The 15,729-nt window shown below is 53.3% G+C and overlaps 1 protein-coding gene across 4 annotated transcripts in view, besides 1 other annotated feature; it reads right to left on the bottom strand.

Moving 5' to 3' along the window:
• The window catches only part of GTSE1 (G2 and S-phase expressed 1), a 33,941-nt gene continuing 21,019 nt past the window's right edge, over positions 2,808-15,729 (bottom strand). For 2 of the 4 annotated variants that reach the window (XM_047441391.1, NM_016426.7), the window contains 5 exons: positions 10,356-10,428; positions 6,964-7,182; positions 4,729-4,930; positions 4,051-4,260; positions 2,808-3,571 (listed from right to left, as the gene is read on the bottom strand). In XM_047441391.1, coding sequence (XP_047297347.1) covers positions 3,488-3,571; positions 4,051-4,260; positions 4,729-4,930; positions 6,964-7,182; positions 10,356-10,428 — 788 coding nt within the window. In that variant the 3' untranslated portion in view covers positions 2,808-3,487. Of the gene's footprint in view, positions 3,572-4,050; positions 4,261-4,728; positions 4,931-6,963; positions 7,183-10,355; positions 10,429-15,729 lie in introns of those variants that run through there. The other 2 variants (XM_047441392.1, XR_007067974.1) reach the window with 2 other exon arrangements.
• Positions 9,781-10,980: an enhancer, noted in NCBI's record as "P300/CBP strongly-dependent group 1 enhancer chr22:46718535-46719734 (GRCh37/hg19 assembly coordinates)". NCBI's record gives its function as "activates an origin of replication core promoter dependent on BRD2, BRD4, P300/CBP, MED14 and CDK7 cofactors, with strong dependence on P300/CBP, by STARR-seq in HCT116 cells {active_cell/tissue: HCT116}" and the evidence as "EXISTENCE:reporter gene assay evidence [ECO:0000049][PMID:35650434]".

The raw sequence follows: 15,729 nt of genomic DNA, 5'->3' as shown, positions 1-15,729 counted from the left end.
CCAAGGTGGTCGAGGCACAGCTTGCTTTGATACATATTAGGGAGACACAGGACATCAATTAATACGTGTAAGATGTACACTGGTTCTGTCTGGAAAGGCGCAACAACTGGGGGTGGTGGGCAGCTCGCAGGTCATAGGTAGATAAGAGATAAACTGTTGCATTCCTTTGGGTCTTTGATCAGCCTTTCACTGAATACACAATCTCCATGTGAGAGGCAGGTAGAGGAACAGTCACTGATGCCTTAGTCTGGCTCAGTGAATCTGCATTTTCACATAAACAATAGGGCAGAGGAAGCAATCAGACATGCATTTGTCTCAGGTGAGCAGAGGACTGATGGTGAGTTGTCCATTGTCTGGCATCTGTGAAGATAAGCTATCAATTTACATTGCCAGGGTGAAATTCAACAGAACTATTTTAGGGTAAAGATCTCGAGGTCCACGAGGAATTTCCAAGAAGAAAAGCAGGAACTACCAACAGGAGAGCCCTGGGGACTGGTGCCAGGAGGAGCTGCAAGACAGGAGGGAGGTCACAGGGCCTGTGGGGAAAAGGATGACCACTTTTTCAGAATAAAGGATCAGGAAAATACCCAACAGGAGGGCAATTTCATCTTGCATTTCCCGGAAGAGATAAGGAAATCCAGTATCTGGGCAGCTGAGTTTGTGCAGATTTAGAGGTACACGTTTAGGCTGTGTCTAAACTTGAGTCTGGGTCTGGGGGCAGGCCCTCCTTGGGTGTGGCAGGCTGATCTAAGGTTATGGCAGGTTAAGTCCCAGTTGCAGCCAACCCGCAAAATGGCTGAGATCCATGCTCACATATTTTCTGCTACTTTTTGGTTAACTATATGGTATTTTAGGTACTCCGTAGCTCCAAGAGGCCCCTGTGTATCACCCAGGTCCACTACAGGCTAGTTATGGCCAGGATGACGACATCCCAGGTGCCGCCTGCCAACAGCAATGTCAGAGACGTGGATTTCAGAGATGTAAAATGGGAAGACATTTGCTCCACAAAATTAATGAAATGTGGTAAAAAATCACATGAAGTTGGACGTCTTGGACCTGGGAGGGTGGCCCTCCAGTGGCAGCTGAGGTGTTCGGTGCCATCCTATGGAGAAAGGGGCTGGCCCTCCTGGGGCCACGGAGCCCTTCAGTCTCCAACTAACTGTGCATCTTCCCACCCGGAGCCCTCTGAGGGGTGAACCAAGGGCCTGTGTACCAGGAGAGGGAGTGGGGGAGCTCAGACTGGGTGGCTTCGGCAGGAAGAGCCCAGTGGAGAAACCCAGACAGAAAGGAATGGGCCTGGAGCCTCAGGACAGGAGCAGCTCTGCTCTGTCCAGCTCCTGCTCCTGGGCCCTCTTCCTGTCTGTCTGTAGAGAGTTAAAGTCAGATCACTCTGTCTGGCCTGGGTACCAAGGAGAGCCTGGCTGCACTGAAGCCGCACCGGGGAGGGGAAGGGCACAGGGGGGAGGAGCCCCAGCAGCGGGATTGGGGCCACAGGCCAAAGGCTGGGCTCACCCCCAGGGCCTGAATGGAGACAACTGAGGCACAGCTTGGTTACAGATGAGCTGGGAGCTGAACATCTCCCTCCTCTACCCAGTGGGAAGCCCTAAGAGGGAAGGGGTACCTGAGCGCTGCACCCCGCTGCACCCAGCAGAAAACAGCCTGACCCATAGCAGAGCCTCAGTAAATATTTGCTGCATGGTTTAATCCAATTTCAGATTTCCTTTTCTACCCCTGGGAAATGAGGGCCAGACCAGAGGTTCCCTGAGGACCCTCCGGTGTCACTACCAGGCCCCTGGGATTCCCTGCTGTCCCGGAGACGTGGAGCCGCCGTGATTCCCACGGGCCCGGCGACTCTGGCCAGCGCAGGACTGGCTGAAAGTCTTACCTGGGGAGTCACTGCTCATGGAGCGGGGCTTCTCTGGCTTCATGACTCACACATCCAAGCAGCTCTGCCTGTGGGGAGCTTCCGTCTGCAGGCGCAGCAACTCAGCCGTGAGAAGCGCGCCACCTTTCCACCATGGCAGTTTCCACCGAGACGTCTTTCCACGGCATCGCCTGTCCACCCTACCCCTCCCTGCTCTCGACGGCAGAGGACTCGCTGTTCCGAGTGGCAGCTTTAGAATCACGCAGTAACCGCAGGAAGTAGAGAGCACAGCACAGTCATCATTTTCCCTCATCTTTGTGGACAGAGGCAGATCCTGGTATGACCCAGGGAGCACTGGAGTGGGGTCCGAAATACAGAGTCCGGCCGCTGGCTCGCTGCTGTCTGCCATGAAGCCGCTCAACCAAGGTGGTAAGTTTCCTCAAGAGAAATGGACACAAAGTAGCGGCTTCCTGGAGCTCGTTTTCTAAATAAAGGGAATGGGCTTTCCAGTGGCACTCAGTTCCTGCCACTGCCCACTGAGCTTGTCGGGCCCCTGCTGAGAGCAAAGCTGAGGGGTCCTCCCCGAGGCCTGCCCAGCAGACGCCGTCCATCACCTTAGTGTCCAGGTAAGCCCGGCCTCCTCGCCCATCCTCTTTCCACTCATACCCTCGTCTCCCCAGAGCAGCTTCTTCTCAAGGGGTGTGTCTCAGGCCATCGAGTCAGCATCACCTGTGTGCCTAGTAACAATTACTAGGCTGGCCCCAGACCTAGAAACTAGTGTATCTGGGGGCGGGCCTGGGCCTGCACTGACATCAATTTTTATTGACTAATTTTTGAAAATCACTTGTATGAAAGCATTCGAGTCTAGATAGTAGCCTTACTGATTAGAGTGATAAAAATAGCTATGCATGTTTGAAAATCAAGATAAGCTTAAAAATCAAGATATGCTTCAATAAGTCCATTTATTTTACAATTTAATGTAAATCTAGAATATCTAACTATTTATACAAACTTAACTTTAAAAATAGCCACTTGCTATTTTACATACAAAACATTCAAAAGAAAATTCTTCATTTAGAGTGACTGAGGCTTCACATTCCAGCCCAGAGAATGGCAGCGAGGAGGGTGGCGGCGGGAAGCAGAGGCCTTGGGTGGTCCGTGCTGGCCCCAGTCCCTCAGCCCACCCTCTCCAGCACTGGGAATATATTTATGCTTATTTTTCTTTTTCAAATAAAACTTCTACTAAAACATGTTTCTTTTTTTTTTTTTCCAAGACAGGTTCTCACATTGGTGCCCAGGCTGGAGTGCAGTGGCACAATCACAGCCCACTGCAGCCTGCATCTCCTTGAGCTCAGGCCATCCTCCCACTTCAGCCTCCCAAGTAGCTGGGACTACAGGCATGCACTACCACACCCGGCTAATTTTTGTATTTTTTGTAGGGACAGGAGTTTCACTATATTTCCCAGGCTGGTCCCGAACTCCTGGGCTCAAGTAATCCGCCCACCTCAGCCTCCCAAGTTCTAGGGTTACAAGTGTAAGCCACTGCGACCAGCCTAAAGCTTGTTTCTGAGGGTTGAAAACCACTTTAGGGCTGTTCTTTCAAGGCAAAGGATTTGGTTCGGCTTAGAACTTGAGGAGTGGGGAATCCACGTTCTCCTTGTCAGCCTCAGGGCTCAGCTGGATCAGAGGGGAGCTCAGGTCTATGAGCTGGAAGAGAGCAGAGTGGAGGAGGTGAGCGTGGATCCGGCTAGGGCCTCCCTTCCCCTCCCTGCACAGAGGACTGGCTGCGTGGGTCATCACAGCCACTCGCTCATCCTGGCTCGGGTGCACTGAAAAGCACTCTGGGCCACCACGTCTAAGAAGCTGGAAGGAGACAGGACACACACGGAGAAGCCCAGGCCCCCACCATGCACATTCCTCTGTCCCACATCTGGCCCTGGGGTCTATGGGCAGGAGAGAGGCGGTCCCTGTCCAACAAGAGCTGGCAGGGTCCTGGCAGGGCACCTCAGAGGCAGCTGATCTTTGAGAAGCTCAGGCTGCCAAAGGTGCATCCTGCCCTGAGGTGTGTAGCTGAGAAGACTCAACAGCCACTCTCAAGGGTCCCACGATGGCCCTGGGAGGATGAACAATCCCAGAACTGAGGACACCCAGGGCTGAGTCAACATGAACCACCTGCCACTTCTCACCTGTCCCACCACCGGTGAAGGTTTGGCCACATTTTTATTCATGTCTGGAGTGTTTGTCATGAGGTCGATCAGAGGCCTGCTTTCAGATCCTACAGCCACGTGTGCTTCTGGGGTATCGCAGAAGTCGATGAGAGGAAGGTCAATGAGGGGCTGGCTTGCAGCATCTGGAGTGACCGCGAGTGGTTCCAGTTTGATATCTACAAGAAGAGCCTGGGTACAAAACCAAGGTTAAGAGCAGAGTCCAGCATCTTTCTGGCAACCATCTTGGGAGAATGTGAGCTTTGCTCATGTTCCAGGTGGGCTGGCGGTTTGGAAAGCCAAGGAATCAGGCGGGGCCTTGGTGGAAGGAGGCTCTGTATGGGGTGGGCCGTGCCTCTCTGACTGTTGCCCACCTCCCTGTCCATACCCGCTCACCAGCAGCCACCAGCTCCTGCCACCCTGCTTCCCGCTTCCTCAGCTTTGATCCCTGACCCTTGCCTTAGTCAAATGCAGGGCTTTCTCCCCTGGAGGCCTGGAAGTCCTGACTGCCTCCCTTTGGGTTGCTTGGCACGGAGGCACTGGCCCCAGGATGAAGCATGGCAGGGAACTCCGCCAGCCACAGCCCTGGGTTCCACGGGCTTCCCGAGCAGCCTCCAGGAATCTCAGCTAACAGAACCCAGCTGCGCCCGTTCTGCCCACCTCACTAGGGGCTGCATCTCCACCCGGCTTGGCTTCCTCCCGAGCTACTTCTGTGGCAGTACTTTTGGAGAAAGTAGAATCGCTTTCCTCTGGAGAAAAGTTAAGTGCCTGAGGCACACGGGAAGGAGGAGAACCCCTGTCAGGGGACACATCCACCAGCCTGGAATCTGTCTTTCTGTTGCTCTCCCTTGTTGGTTCAGTTCTGTGGGAAGGAAAAAAACTTATGAGAAAATGTCTCTAAAATGCTCGTTCACTTGGCTGATGTGGGAAGCAAGTCACTCTGGAGGAACAGTGTCCTGGGTGGAGTGCGTCCCGGCTCTAGGGCCTTCACCCTCCAGACCCCCAGTTTCCTGTGTATGGAAGGGGCTCAGTGATCTCTCCAGTTCCTCTCAGCTCACAAATCTTAGCTGTCCAGCATCACCAGGGGCTGATGTTAGCCCCTTCCTTTCTAGTTACTAAACACAAGGTAATGCGCACGCCCGTCACCTCCTGAAGGGAGCCCAGACCACACACAGGGACCCCTCCTTGAGCCACGGCCAGCTCCTCCTCGCATGCAGCTAGTGGGGGGCTTCTCCTAGGCCTAGGTGGGTATGCAGCTGGCTCCTTCTGCCCCAGATGCCCCCTCCCCTGCTGCCCAGTGCCCTGATCAGGGCTGAGGCCCCAGGTACAGGCTGCCCACACCAGCTTTCCAATGGCGTCTCCCACAGGACCCTGCACGGGCGCTGCTGGGCTTGCCTGCTGCCCACAGGTCCTCGAGTACCTGCCACGCAAAACTGAATTCCTTCCGGAAACCCAGCAAAGCCGCAGGTCCATCAACTAACACACAGTACCTTCTTTTTAATACTTCAGAGGTTTCATAAGAAAATTCCAAAAACAAGCAGAATTTTGTTTCTACATTTACACTTACAAACATACAAGATAGTTAAACACATATTCCTATTTATATATCAGATCTGGTGTTTTCAGTGAGGCCTTGTTTCTCATTTTCTCTTTGGCATTCCATGCCTTTCCCTCTCCCTCTGTAATGCACACACATGCCAGCATATTTTCTTCCAGAGTCTTCTGCATTATCATAGAACTACATAGATACACACAGTGTCAACACCTACTGTTGGTAGATGTACATACACAGAAACATATAAGATATATAAAAATGTGTAATTTGTGTATAAATACACGGATATTATATATGTTTTTTTGTTTTGTTTTTCGTTTTTTTGAGACAGGGTCTCTGTTGCACAGGCTGGAGTGCAGTGGTGCGATCTTGGCTCACCCCAACCTCTGCCTCCCAGAATCAAGTGATTCTCCTGCCTCAGCCGCCTGAGTAGCTGGGATTACAGGCGCATGCCACCATGATGCCCAGCTAATTTTTGTATTTTTAGTACAGACAGGGTCTCACCATGTTGGCCAGGTTGGTCTCGAACTCCTGACCTCGTGATCTGCCCACCTCGGGCTCCCAAAGTGCTGGGATTACAGGCGTGAGCCACCGCGCCCGGCTAAGATAGTTAACTTTACACACTAGCATGATCTGTTTCAAAGGTTATACACGACTGAGGTGTGACTTCATTGGAATCAGGTGCCTTTTTCAATCTTTAATCATTTCTGAGCTCCAGCTATGGCTTACTTCATGTGTTCTGGGTCAATTTAGATAAATTTTATTTTATTTATTTTATTTATTTTAATTTTTACAGACGGGGTCTCACTCTGTCCCCCAGGCTGGAGTGCAACGGGGCAATCTCAGCTCACTGCAGCCTCAACCTCCTGAGCTCAAGTGATCCTCCCACCTCAGCCCCCTAAATAGCTGGGACTACAGTGCACGCCACCACACCTAGCTTATTTTTGTATTTTTTGTAGAGATGGGGTTTTGCCATGTTACCCAGGTTGATCTCAAACTCCTGAGCTCAGGCAGTCTGCCTGCCTCGGCCTCCCAAAGTGCTGGGATTACAGGCGTGAGCCACCACACCTGGCCAATAACTTGCAAATTTTAGAAAACCATTAGGTTTTCAAATTGATTATCAGAGAATTACACGCAGTATTTCCTTGTAATACCTTTAATTTTCCTCTATGCTCATGTCTATTGCATTTTCTCTTTGCAATGAAAAAAAAAACAAACAAACTTTCCAAATACTATTTACTTCACTAAAACCTGGAGCAAGGCAAGAAAAAGGTATGTCACTGTCTGGGACAGCAAGCCTAGGAATTTGAGACCAATTTATTACCACCTTCGTGTCTTACCTCATTGCAGAGTTCTTGCGGGGCTCAGAGGAACGTCTCCGAGCTGGCACACACAGGGGAGAGCCCACGGCCCTGGGCATCGTTTTGGGGGTCATCGGTGGAAGGCCAGAGCAGCGCCGGCTGGCGGGTGTGGGCAAGGCTGACACACGCCATGCGCTCAGCAGGCTTTGTGGTGCTGGCCCAGATGAGCGTCTAACCGGGGTGCTGTGGACAGTGACCCTGGCAAACACAACATCAGTGTCGTGAGCTGAGATGACATAGAAAAAGTAAGATCTCATCATTCAGCCTGTGCTAATGCAGTGCTGAGGGCTTTGGTTTCAGCCCAGAAGAGCCAAGCCAGGGAGCCCGTGTGAGCTCCGCTCTCCTGGGACAGGCCCCAAGGCGGGCAAGGCTCCGAGCTGCTACCAACCCATCCTGGCGTGGGCTTCGGGCTCCCAGTGGGAATGGCTTCACTGCCCTTCCTCACAGGCAACTCAAAAGAAAATTGATCAAATGTGATTACACTTTACGGATGCTACCATTAAATGTCACTTCACACGAGGTTCAGAAGAGACTGAGCAAATCATCTTTCAGTTGGTGTCATAGATATTGCCATAAGGAAGTCAGAGCCGCAGCCTGTCTGGTGGGCCAGCGAATGGGGGAGCAGGTCTCCCTGCACGCCCACTCATACCCAGGCTTAAGGTCGCCTGAATCAGATGTGAACACAAATGAGTGAAGAGGAAGCTGGGCACTTGGTCCTCACACCCCTCACGTCCCTGGCAATACCTGTGGTTCGGGCTACCCATGGGTCTTGCCTAACTGTTGCTTTCTTGTGTTGCTGTTGATGAAGAAGAGGCTGAGTCAACTGGCATTTGCTGTGGACTGAATGTCTGTGTCCCCAGATTCATGTGCTGAAATCCTAGCCCCCAAGGTGATGGCATTAGAAGGTGGGGCCTTTAGGAGGAGATCAGGTCATGGAGCCAAAGCCTCAGGAATGGGATCTGTGCCCTTATAAAAGAGGGCACATTGGTGCATACCTGTGGTCCCAGCTACTCAGGAGGCTGGAGTGTGAGGATCACTTGAACCCAGGAGGTAGAGGTTACAGTGAGCCATGATTGCACTACTGCACTCCAGCCTGGGCAACAGAGCAAGACCCTGTCTCAAAAAAATAAACAAACATAGGCCGGGCGGGTGGCTCACGCCTGTAATCCCAGCACTTTGGGAGGCCGAGGCGGGTGGATCACGAGGTCAGGAGATCAAGACCATCCTGGCTAACACGGTGAAACCCCATCTCTACTAAAAATACAAAAAATGAGCCGGGTGTGGTGGCATGTGCCTGTGGTCCCAGCCGCTCGTGAGGCTGAGGCAGGAGAATTGCTTGAACGTAGGAAGCGGAGGTTGCAGTGAGCCAAGATCGCGCCACTGCACTCCAGCCTAGGTGACAGAGCGAGTCTCCATCTCAAAATAAATAAATAAATAAATCAGCATAAAAGAAACTTGTTCACCCCTAACCCAGTGAGGACAGAGAAGGCGGCAGCTGTGAATCGGGAAACAGGCCCTCACCAGACACCAAATCTGCAGGTGCCTTGATCTTGGATTTCTAGCCTCCAGAATTGTGAGAAACAAATGTTTGTTGTTCAAGCTACATAGTCGATAGAACGTTTGTTATAGTAGCCCAAAAAGGACAAAGACATTATTTTAAAATAAAATGAGTCAAGGACATCCCACCACCATGGCCCCTCGGGAGGCCAGGGAGACCTGTCTATTGCTCTATTCTGGGCAATTGTTACGTTCTTCAAAAGGAGCCTGAAAACAGACTGACTCTAGCCTATTTAAATGGAAGAAAAGCAACGAGGCTGAAATCAAGAGAGAAACAGAATCACTCCAGAGAGCAACTGCTGTCAACCCCAGCTGCTGCTCTCCGCGAAGTTCTAGGATTCCCCACCCTCCTCCCTTTATTGCTAAGTTCTGGCAGCCCCACCACAAATTCCAGTGAAAATAAAAATTCCGGCCAGGCGCGGTGGCTCACACCTGTAATCCCAGCACTTTGCGAGGCCAAGGCTGGTGGATCACGAGGCCAGGAGATCGAGACCATCCTGGCTAACACGGTGAAACCCCGTCTCTACTAAAAATACAAAAACTTAGCCGGGCGTGGTGGCGGGCGCCTGTAGTCCCAGCTACTTGGGAGGCTGAGGCAGGAGAATGGCGTGAATCCAGGAGGCGGAGCTTACCATGAGCTGAGATCGTGCCACTGCCCTCCAGCCTGGGTGACAGAGTGAGACTCTGTCTCAAAAAAAAAGAAAAGAAAAGAAAAATTCCAATAAATGTAATTCTCAAAGTAACCCTGGGTGAGGTGAGGAAACTGAGGCACAGAGAGGCAAGTGAGGTGGCCAGTGGCTGCCTGGCTCTGGTCTTTGCTCTTCACCACCATGCATGGGAGGGACGGCAGCTTAGCATGGCACCATGCGCAGCACGTGAGGGACTGGCTAGTTCGACCTCGCGAAGCGTGTCTCAAGCTCACACAGGAGGAAACTAAAGCCCAGAGTCACCAAAAGACTTGCAAGTGGCCCCAGCTGAGCTTGGGCCATCCCTACTTGACGTGAGGAAAAAGGTCAGCAACATTCGGGAACTTAAACTGGATCAAAGACCAGGAAGTGGTGGAGCTGGGATTCAAAGCCAAGTCAGGCCGGACACGGTGGCTCACGCCTATAATCCCAGCACTTTGGGAGGCAGAGGCGGGCGGATCACGAGGCCAGGAGATCGAGACCATCCTGGCTAACACGGTGAAACCCCATCTCTACTAAAAAAAATACAAAAATAATTAGCCGGGTGTGGTGGCGGGTGCCTGTAGTCCCAGCTACTAGGGAGGCTGAGGCAGGAGAATGGCGTGAACCCGGGAGGTGGAGTTTGCAGTGAGCCGAGATCGTGCCACTGCACTCCAGCCTGGGCGACAGAGCAAGACTCCATCTCAAAAAGAAAAAAAAAGCCAAGTCAGAATCAAGGTGCCACGCCAGTGCTCTTCAACTGCGGTACAAGTCACAGTCACCCAGGAGCTTTAGGAAATCCAGCTGCTGGGCCTCAGCCTAGATGAACCAAATCAGAACCCCTGGGGTGGGCTGGGCACGGGCAGTCCTAAGAGCGCTGGAGGGACTTCTGCTGTGCAGCCTGGCATGGCAACCACACCAGTCCAGGGCTGGGAGCTGCCGTACTGCATCGCGGAAGTCTCAGATGTCTTAAGTCTGCAGTAGATCTAAAAGGGGCTGGTACACATCAGGAGCTCGGCCTGCACCCAAGAGACTGGCGTGGAAGCCAGATGCGCAGGCCAGGCTGCAGGGTTACCAAATGGTTGAGGTAAGCAGATGCGTGAGTCATTCTACAGCAATAAAGAGAGGAAGCGGACCAACGTCACTCACCTGCCAACTGACGTGCACGACTGCGGCCGCTGTGCCCGCGAAAGCTTTGGTGTTGAGCTGTCCGGGGAGTCACCTAAGTCCAAGAAAGGAAGTGTGCGGTCAGGTAAAGTGATCAGGGGGAGACCTACTGTTGGGGGATCGTCACCGAATGGGCAATTCTCCGAGTATCTCCACTGTCCCAACTTGAGTGTAGGTGGCACTGGCTCAGACAAGTACACAAAGGGCCACCCTGCTGCAGGCAGCCACATGAGAGGCATTCACCCCTACACGGGGACCCCTGCCCAGGCAAAGGCTGTGGTCTGATGGATGGACACGGGGGAGAAAGAGAAGAGCCATCTTCACTGCGCCGCCCCACCCTGGCTGTATATCCCATCAGGGCCGAGCACGACCTTCACAGAGCGAAGTCGACTTGTCAGACGGCACCTGCATGCGCTAGACACTTGCCCACAGGAACAACACCGCAGGGGTTTAGCTTCCCAGGCACGCGCAACAGAGCCCACATTCCCTCATTTTCCCGAACCATGACTTTACTGGGATAATAATAATTCATTACACTGTGTTTGTGCTGTTTTAGTTGACAAGCATTTCCATGTGTATGATCTCATCTGATATTCACAACAGGATGAAAAGCAGGCTCAGAGGGCAAAGGGGTCACCAGTTACCGAGCTAAGGCCCAACACAGGCCCCAGAGGTCCAGTCCCGCCACCACGCCCCCAGACACTGGCTCCATGGTTCCTCCTCCTCTATACTGGCTCCTTGAAAATCCCAGTGTGCACTTGAGTATCAGCACATGTGCTCTGGGGCCTCCAAAGCCTCAGGCACCAGGACCCCCTTGGAACACCTTGCTATGTCTGGGAAGCCATGGGAAAAGAGGCTGTCCCTCAGAGCCCCTTACCCCAGCACCAAGAGGGAAGGGTGGGGCCTGGAGCTGAGGCCTCTTCTCCACAGGTGCTTCCAGGAGGCCAGGCGAGGGTCCAGGCTGCTGCCCCCACAGACAGCCCCTCTCTCTGGCAACAGCACAGCTGCTGCTGGGCCCTCCATCTTAACAAGCCTATGCCCGCCCTCCTGCGCCTGCACCCAAGCTCCTGTCCCACGTCCCTGCCCCGCTTTAAACCAGATCTCCTCAGAAAGGCTGCCTGCACTTACATTTCCTCTCTCCTGCTCTTTTTTTTTTTTTTTTTTTTTTTTTGAGACAGAGTCTCTCTCTGTCGCCCAGGCTGGAGTGCAGTGGCATGATCTCGGCTTACCGCAACCTCCGCCTCCTGGGTTCAAGTGATTCTTTTGCCTCAGCCTCCTGAGTAGCTGGAATTATAGGTGCCCGCCACCACGCCCGGATAATTTTTGTATTGTTAGTAGAGACAGGGTTTTGCCATGTTGGCCAGGCTGGTCTTGAACTCCTGACCTCAAGTGATTGCCCGCCTCGGCCTCCCAAAGTGCTGGGATTACAGGCGTGAGCCACTGCCCCAGCCTCTCCTATTCTTTTAAAAATCACCTCTATCAAAGTGACTCATGCACAGTTTTTAAAAATGAAGGTTAAAATTTTATGAGACAAACAAGTCTCCCACCACACCCAGCTCTGCTTCCAGCGTGCTGGAAGCTTCTTGCGATGTCTCCCTTCACTCATTTCTAAATCACGCACCCACATTGCTACCTCCGCATTCTTCAGAAACTCCGTTTGTTACAAGAGTTAAGAATCTGCCCCTCACACCTCCCCACCGCCCCCACCTGTGCGTTCACCAGGCCTCCATGTTCACCCCAGCACTGGAGAGGCGCGCAGCTCGCACACAGCTGAGTCAAACATGCTCCCACCCTCTCTCCACCTCCGTTTTCAGTTTGTTTGTTTCTTTTCTTTCTTACAAGAAACAAGGTCTTGCTCTGTCACCCAGGCTGGAGTGCAGTGGCTTGATCACTGCTCACTGCAGCCTTGAACTCCTGGGTTCAAGTAATCTTCCTGCCTCAGTCTCCCAAGTAGCTGGGACTACAGGTGCCCAGCACCATGCCCAGCTAAATGTTTTTGTAGAATCGGGGTCTCACTGTGTCGCCCAGGCTGGTGTTTGTTTTCTTGTATGGAGTGGGGTGGTCTGTGACTAAGTCATCCCATAATCCCTGTCTTTTGGGAACATTCTTGGGTCACTGACCCCGCACCATTCACAGAGGTCTCTGTGAGACCCAAGTTGGTCACTCCTGGCGGGTGTGGAGGCAAGCCCACCTCTCTCTCCCTCGCCGCCTCCCTCTCCCTTGCCGCCTCCCGTGTTGGCTCCCTCTCTCCCGAGACCCCTTCCTCTCGGTTGTCCTCTCCCTCAGCTGGGTGGAGCGCACTCTTCAGCAGCTTCCATGGTGGCACGGGAAGGTCATTCTTATGAAACAGAACACGAACAAGCCATCTCCTGACACCCTCACGACTGCCCTAGGGCTGCCTGAGCACGCACGCCTCCCAGGCCCACATCAGCTCTTCCCTAAACCTGGACGGCGCGTCTCCACTGCAGCTCCCAGTACCGGGGAGGCAAAGCCCACAGCCAGAATTCCAAGTCTCAATCCTCTGGGTGACCCGGCAGCATGGACTCATAGTAAATAGCAACATTTGTAACTGGACTGTTTTACAAAGAATGCTGCTTGCCTCGAGTATTTTGAGAAAGTGCACATATGAAAGCCTCCACTACAGGGCACCGTTCATGTGGTCCCACGCTGTGAGTGCCCTCAGCCCTCACCTCTCCTCCACGGTGACAGCTGGTGTCACAGCCAATGAGCAACACCACCAGTGCTCTCAGCCAAAAAGTGCACACCACCACGTGCCTCCCAGAGCTGTGTGTTCCCAACAGCGTGGCTGCTCCCCTGGGGCCTCTCTTCCGGCCAGTGCTGAGTTTGTGGGACCAGTTTTGACCCTGATGAATGACCAAAGGCGTGCAAGAGACAGTCCTGTTCCCAGCATTGTGGAGAGAGGAGGAACCGCCTGCCGAAGGTGAAATGCACATCTGAGAGGTGCGTAAGGAGACCGCAGGGACACGCTCTGGGAAACAGGGCAAAGCCAACAGGGATTTGGGATTAGCAGAAGTCCTGTGGCATCAAGCAGCCCGACAGCCAGGAGACCAGCCAACACTTGTGCCAACGTGGTCAGGAGAGACATGGCAGACGCATGTCCTGGCTCCAGGCATTCAGGCAGAAGGGAAGCAAACACTACTGAACACACCTCCACATGACCTGGGCCGTAGGGTGTCCCTGCAGAACCCACCCAATCACAGCTCGCATTTCTTTTCTTTCTTTCTTTCTTTTTTTTTTTTTTGAGACAGTCTCGTTCTGTCGCCCAGGCTGGAGTGCAGTGACACCATCTCGGCTCACTACAACCTCTGCCTCCTGGCTCAAGTGATTCTCCTGCCTCAGCTTCCCAAGTAGCTGGGATTACAGGCATGCGCCACCATGCCTGGCTAATTTTTCTATTTTTAGTAGAGACAGGGTTTCACCATGTTGACCAGGCTGCTCTCGAACTCCTGACCTCAGGTGATCTGCTCACCTCGGCCTCCCAAAGTGCTAGGATTACAGGAGTTAGCCACCGTGCCCAGCTCACAGCTCCCATCTCTACAAACTCAGCTCTCTGCTGTTGAAACCTACACTGAGGTCTCCAGCTGTGGCTTCTCCTCTGAGCTCTCAGCCTGCTCCACCCCTCAGCTGCAGCCTAAGTGGCCTCTCACCCTCACTACTTCCAAAATGGGGCCGTGGACTCTGCCCGCTGCCTCTTCCAGCCCTCCTGTCACATGAGTGGCAGCACCCAGGTTCCGCCAGAACCTCAGGGACACTCGAGTCCCTCTCTGCACTGCCACATGAGCCCTAAGCTACCAGAACGTCAGGCAGACCGCAGCGCTCCAGCCTCCTTCCCCAGCACTAGCTTCCTCCCCAACACAGTGAGGGCCAGGTCCGCATTACCCTCCCCACCACTCTTCGGCCCAGAGACTCTGCTCTTCCCTCTGTGGAGGGACCTTCTGAAGGTCAAGTCGCTCTGCTCTGATCTCTCCTATGCACGTCCTCCTGCACTGACGGTACTCCAGGGTCCGCTCTGGTCACGCGGCGCTCTGGGAGCCGGCCTCGGGCTGCCCCTCCATCTTCATCTCTTCTTACCCTGCCCCTCGGTCACTGACTGGCTGAGGTTGCTAGTTTTTGTTCAACAGCAACTTTCCTCTTCTCAGTAAGAAATTTCAGCTGTGTGCGGAATAAAGACAACGTGTCCTAGCATCCTGTGCAGGGAAGCGTCGTACTCAATGGGACACAAACGGAGTCACAGGGACAACTTGCAGTGAGGGTCCTTGAAAGGTGGGGATTTGCTCTTCTTCACCTAGAAGAAGGCTTCCTGCCGGGAGGTATGAGGGCCAGAGCCGGTGCAGCCACACTAGACCATGAGGATGAGAAGCTCATCACGGCAGCACAGGATGGAGTAAGCCTGGGTCCCTGACACCAAGGAGTACTGACCAGCTGTCGCACGTCTACGCAGAATCCCGACCGCAGCGGCTGCACTCCCACCCTCCGGCCCCCATGCTGCTCCCAGAGCACGTCCCACGCCTTCCTGCCCCAGGACCTCTGCACTCCTGCCGTTGCCTCTGCCTGGAGTGCTCCCCCTTGCACTTTCCTACCGGCTGCCTCAGTCTCCTGGTTCAGATCTCAGTCCCGTGTCACCTCCTGACCATCTTTGCCAAAGAACCACCCGATGCAAATTCCTCCCCAAACATGCCAGCTCCAGGACACCATCTTCCCTTAGTCCCTTTGTTGTGCTAGGATCTGCAGGCCTGCTCATCTGATAACATTTCGTATCTTTTCCTATTAAACAGAAATTCTGTGAGAGTAGGTCTGTCTTATCATGATGTCCCTTGTCCCCCAAAGCATTCCAGCACAGAGAAGACACTCAGCAGAACAGCTTGTTCCTACAGCAGGACTCAGAATGCAGTTTCTGGGAGTTGCAGGCTGCCTGTGCTGGCCGGCACTGCCAGAACTTAAAATCCTCAAGCACCCAGAGGGCAGATCTGCCTGACAGAGGAGGCCAGGACGCTCCTCTCACCTTAAGTCAGCTCTGAGAACTTTCTGCATTGCACACAATTGTTCAAGAAATTCATGAAAACTTTACAAACACCCACCCACTAATGGCCAGACACCTGCTGGGGCCAGTGGCCTCACTGACTGGAGAAGGCAGTGGCTGGAGCTCAGGAGGCTGAGGTGGCTGCAATCTGAGGGCCAGAAACTAGAGAGGAGGGGGCTACTCCGACAGAACGAGCTCTAGGAACCCAAGGGAATCTCGAGTCTCTGGCTGAGCACCAGGCAGTGCACAGGTGCAGGGCAGGAGTCCTCAAGGTCAAGAGAAGAGCAACTACCAGGGAGCAACGAGCGGAGCTCA

The sequence above is a fragment of the Homo sapiens genome, chromosome 22, assembly GCF_000001405.40.
Source record: "Homo sapiens chromosome 22, GRCh38.p14 Primary Assembly".
Classification (NCBI taxonomy): domain Eukaryota; kingdom Metazoa; phylum Chordata; class Mammalia; order Primates; family Hominidae; genus Homo; species Homo sapiens.
This window is presented reverse-complemented; position numbering and strand designations above follow the sequence as displayed.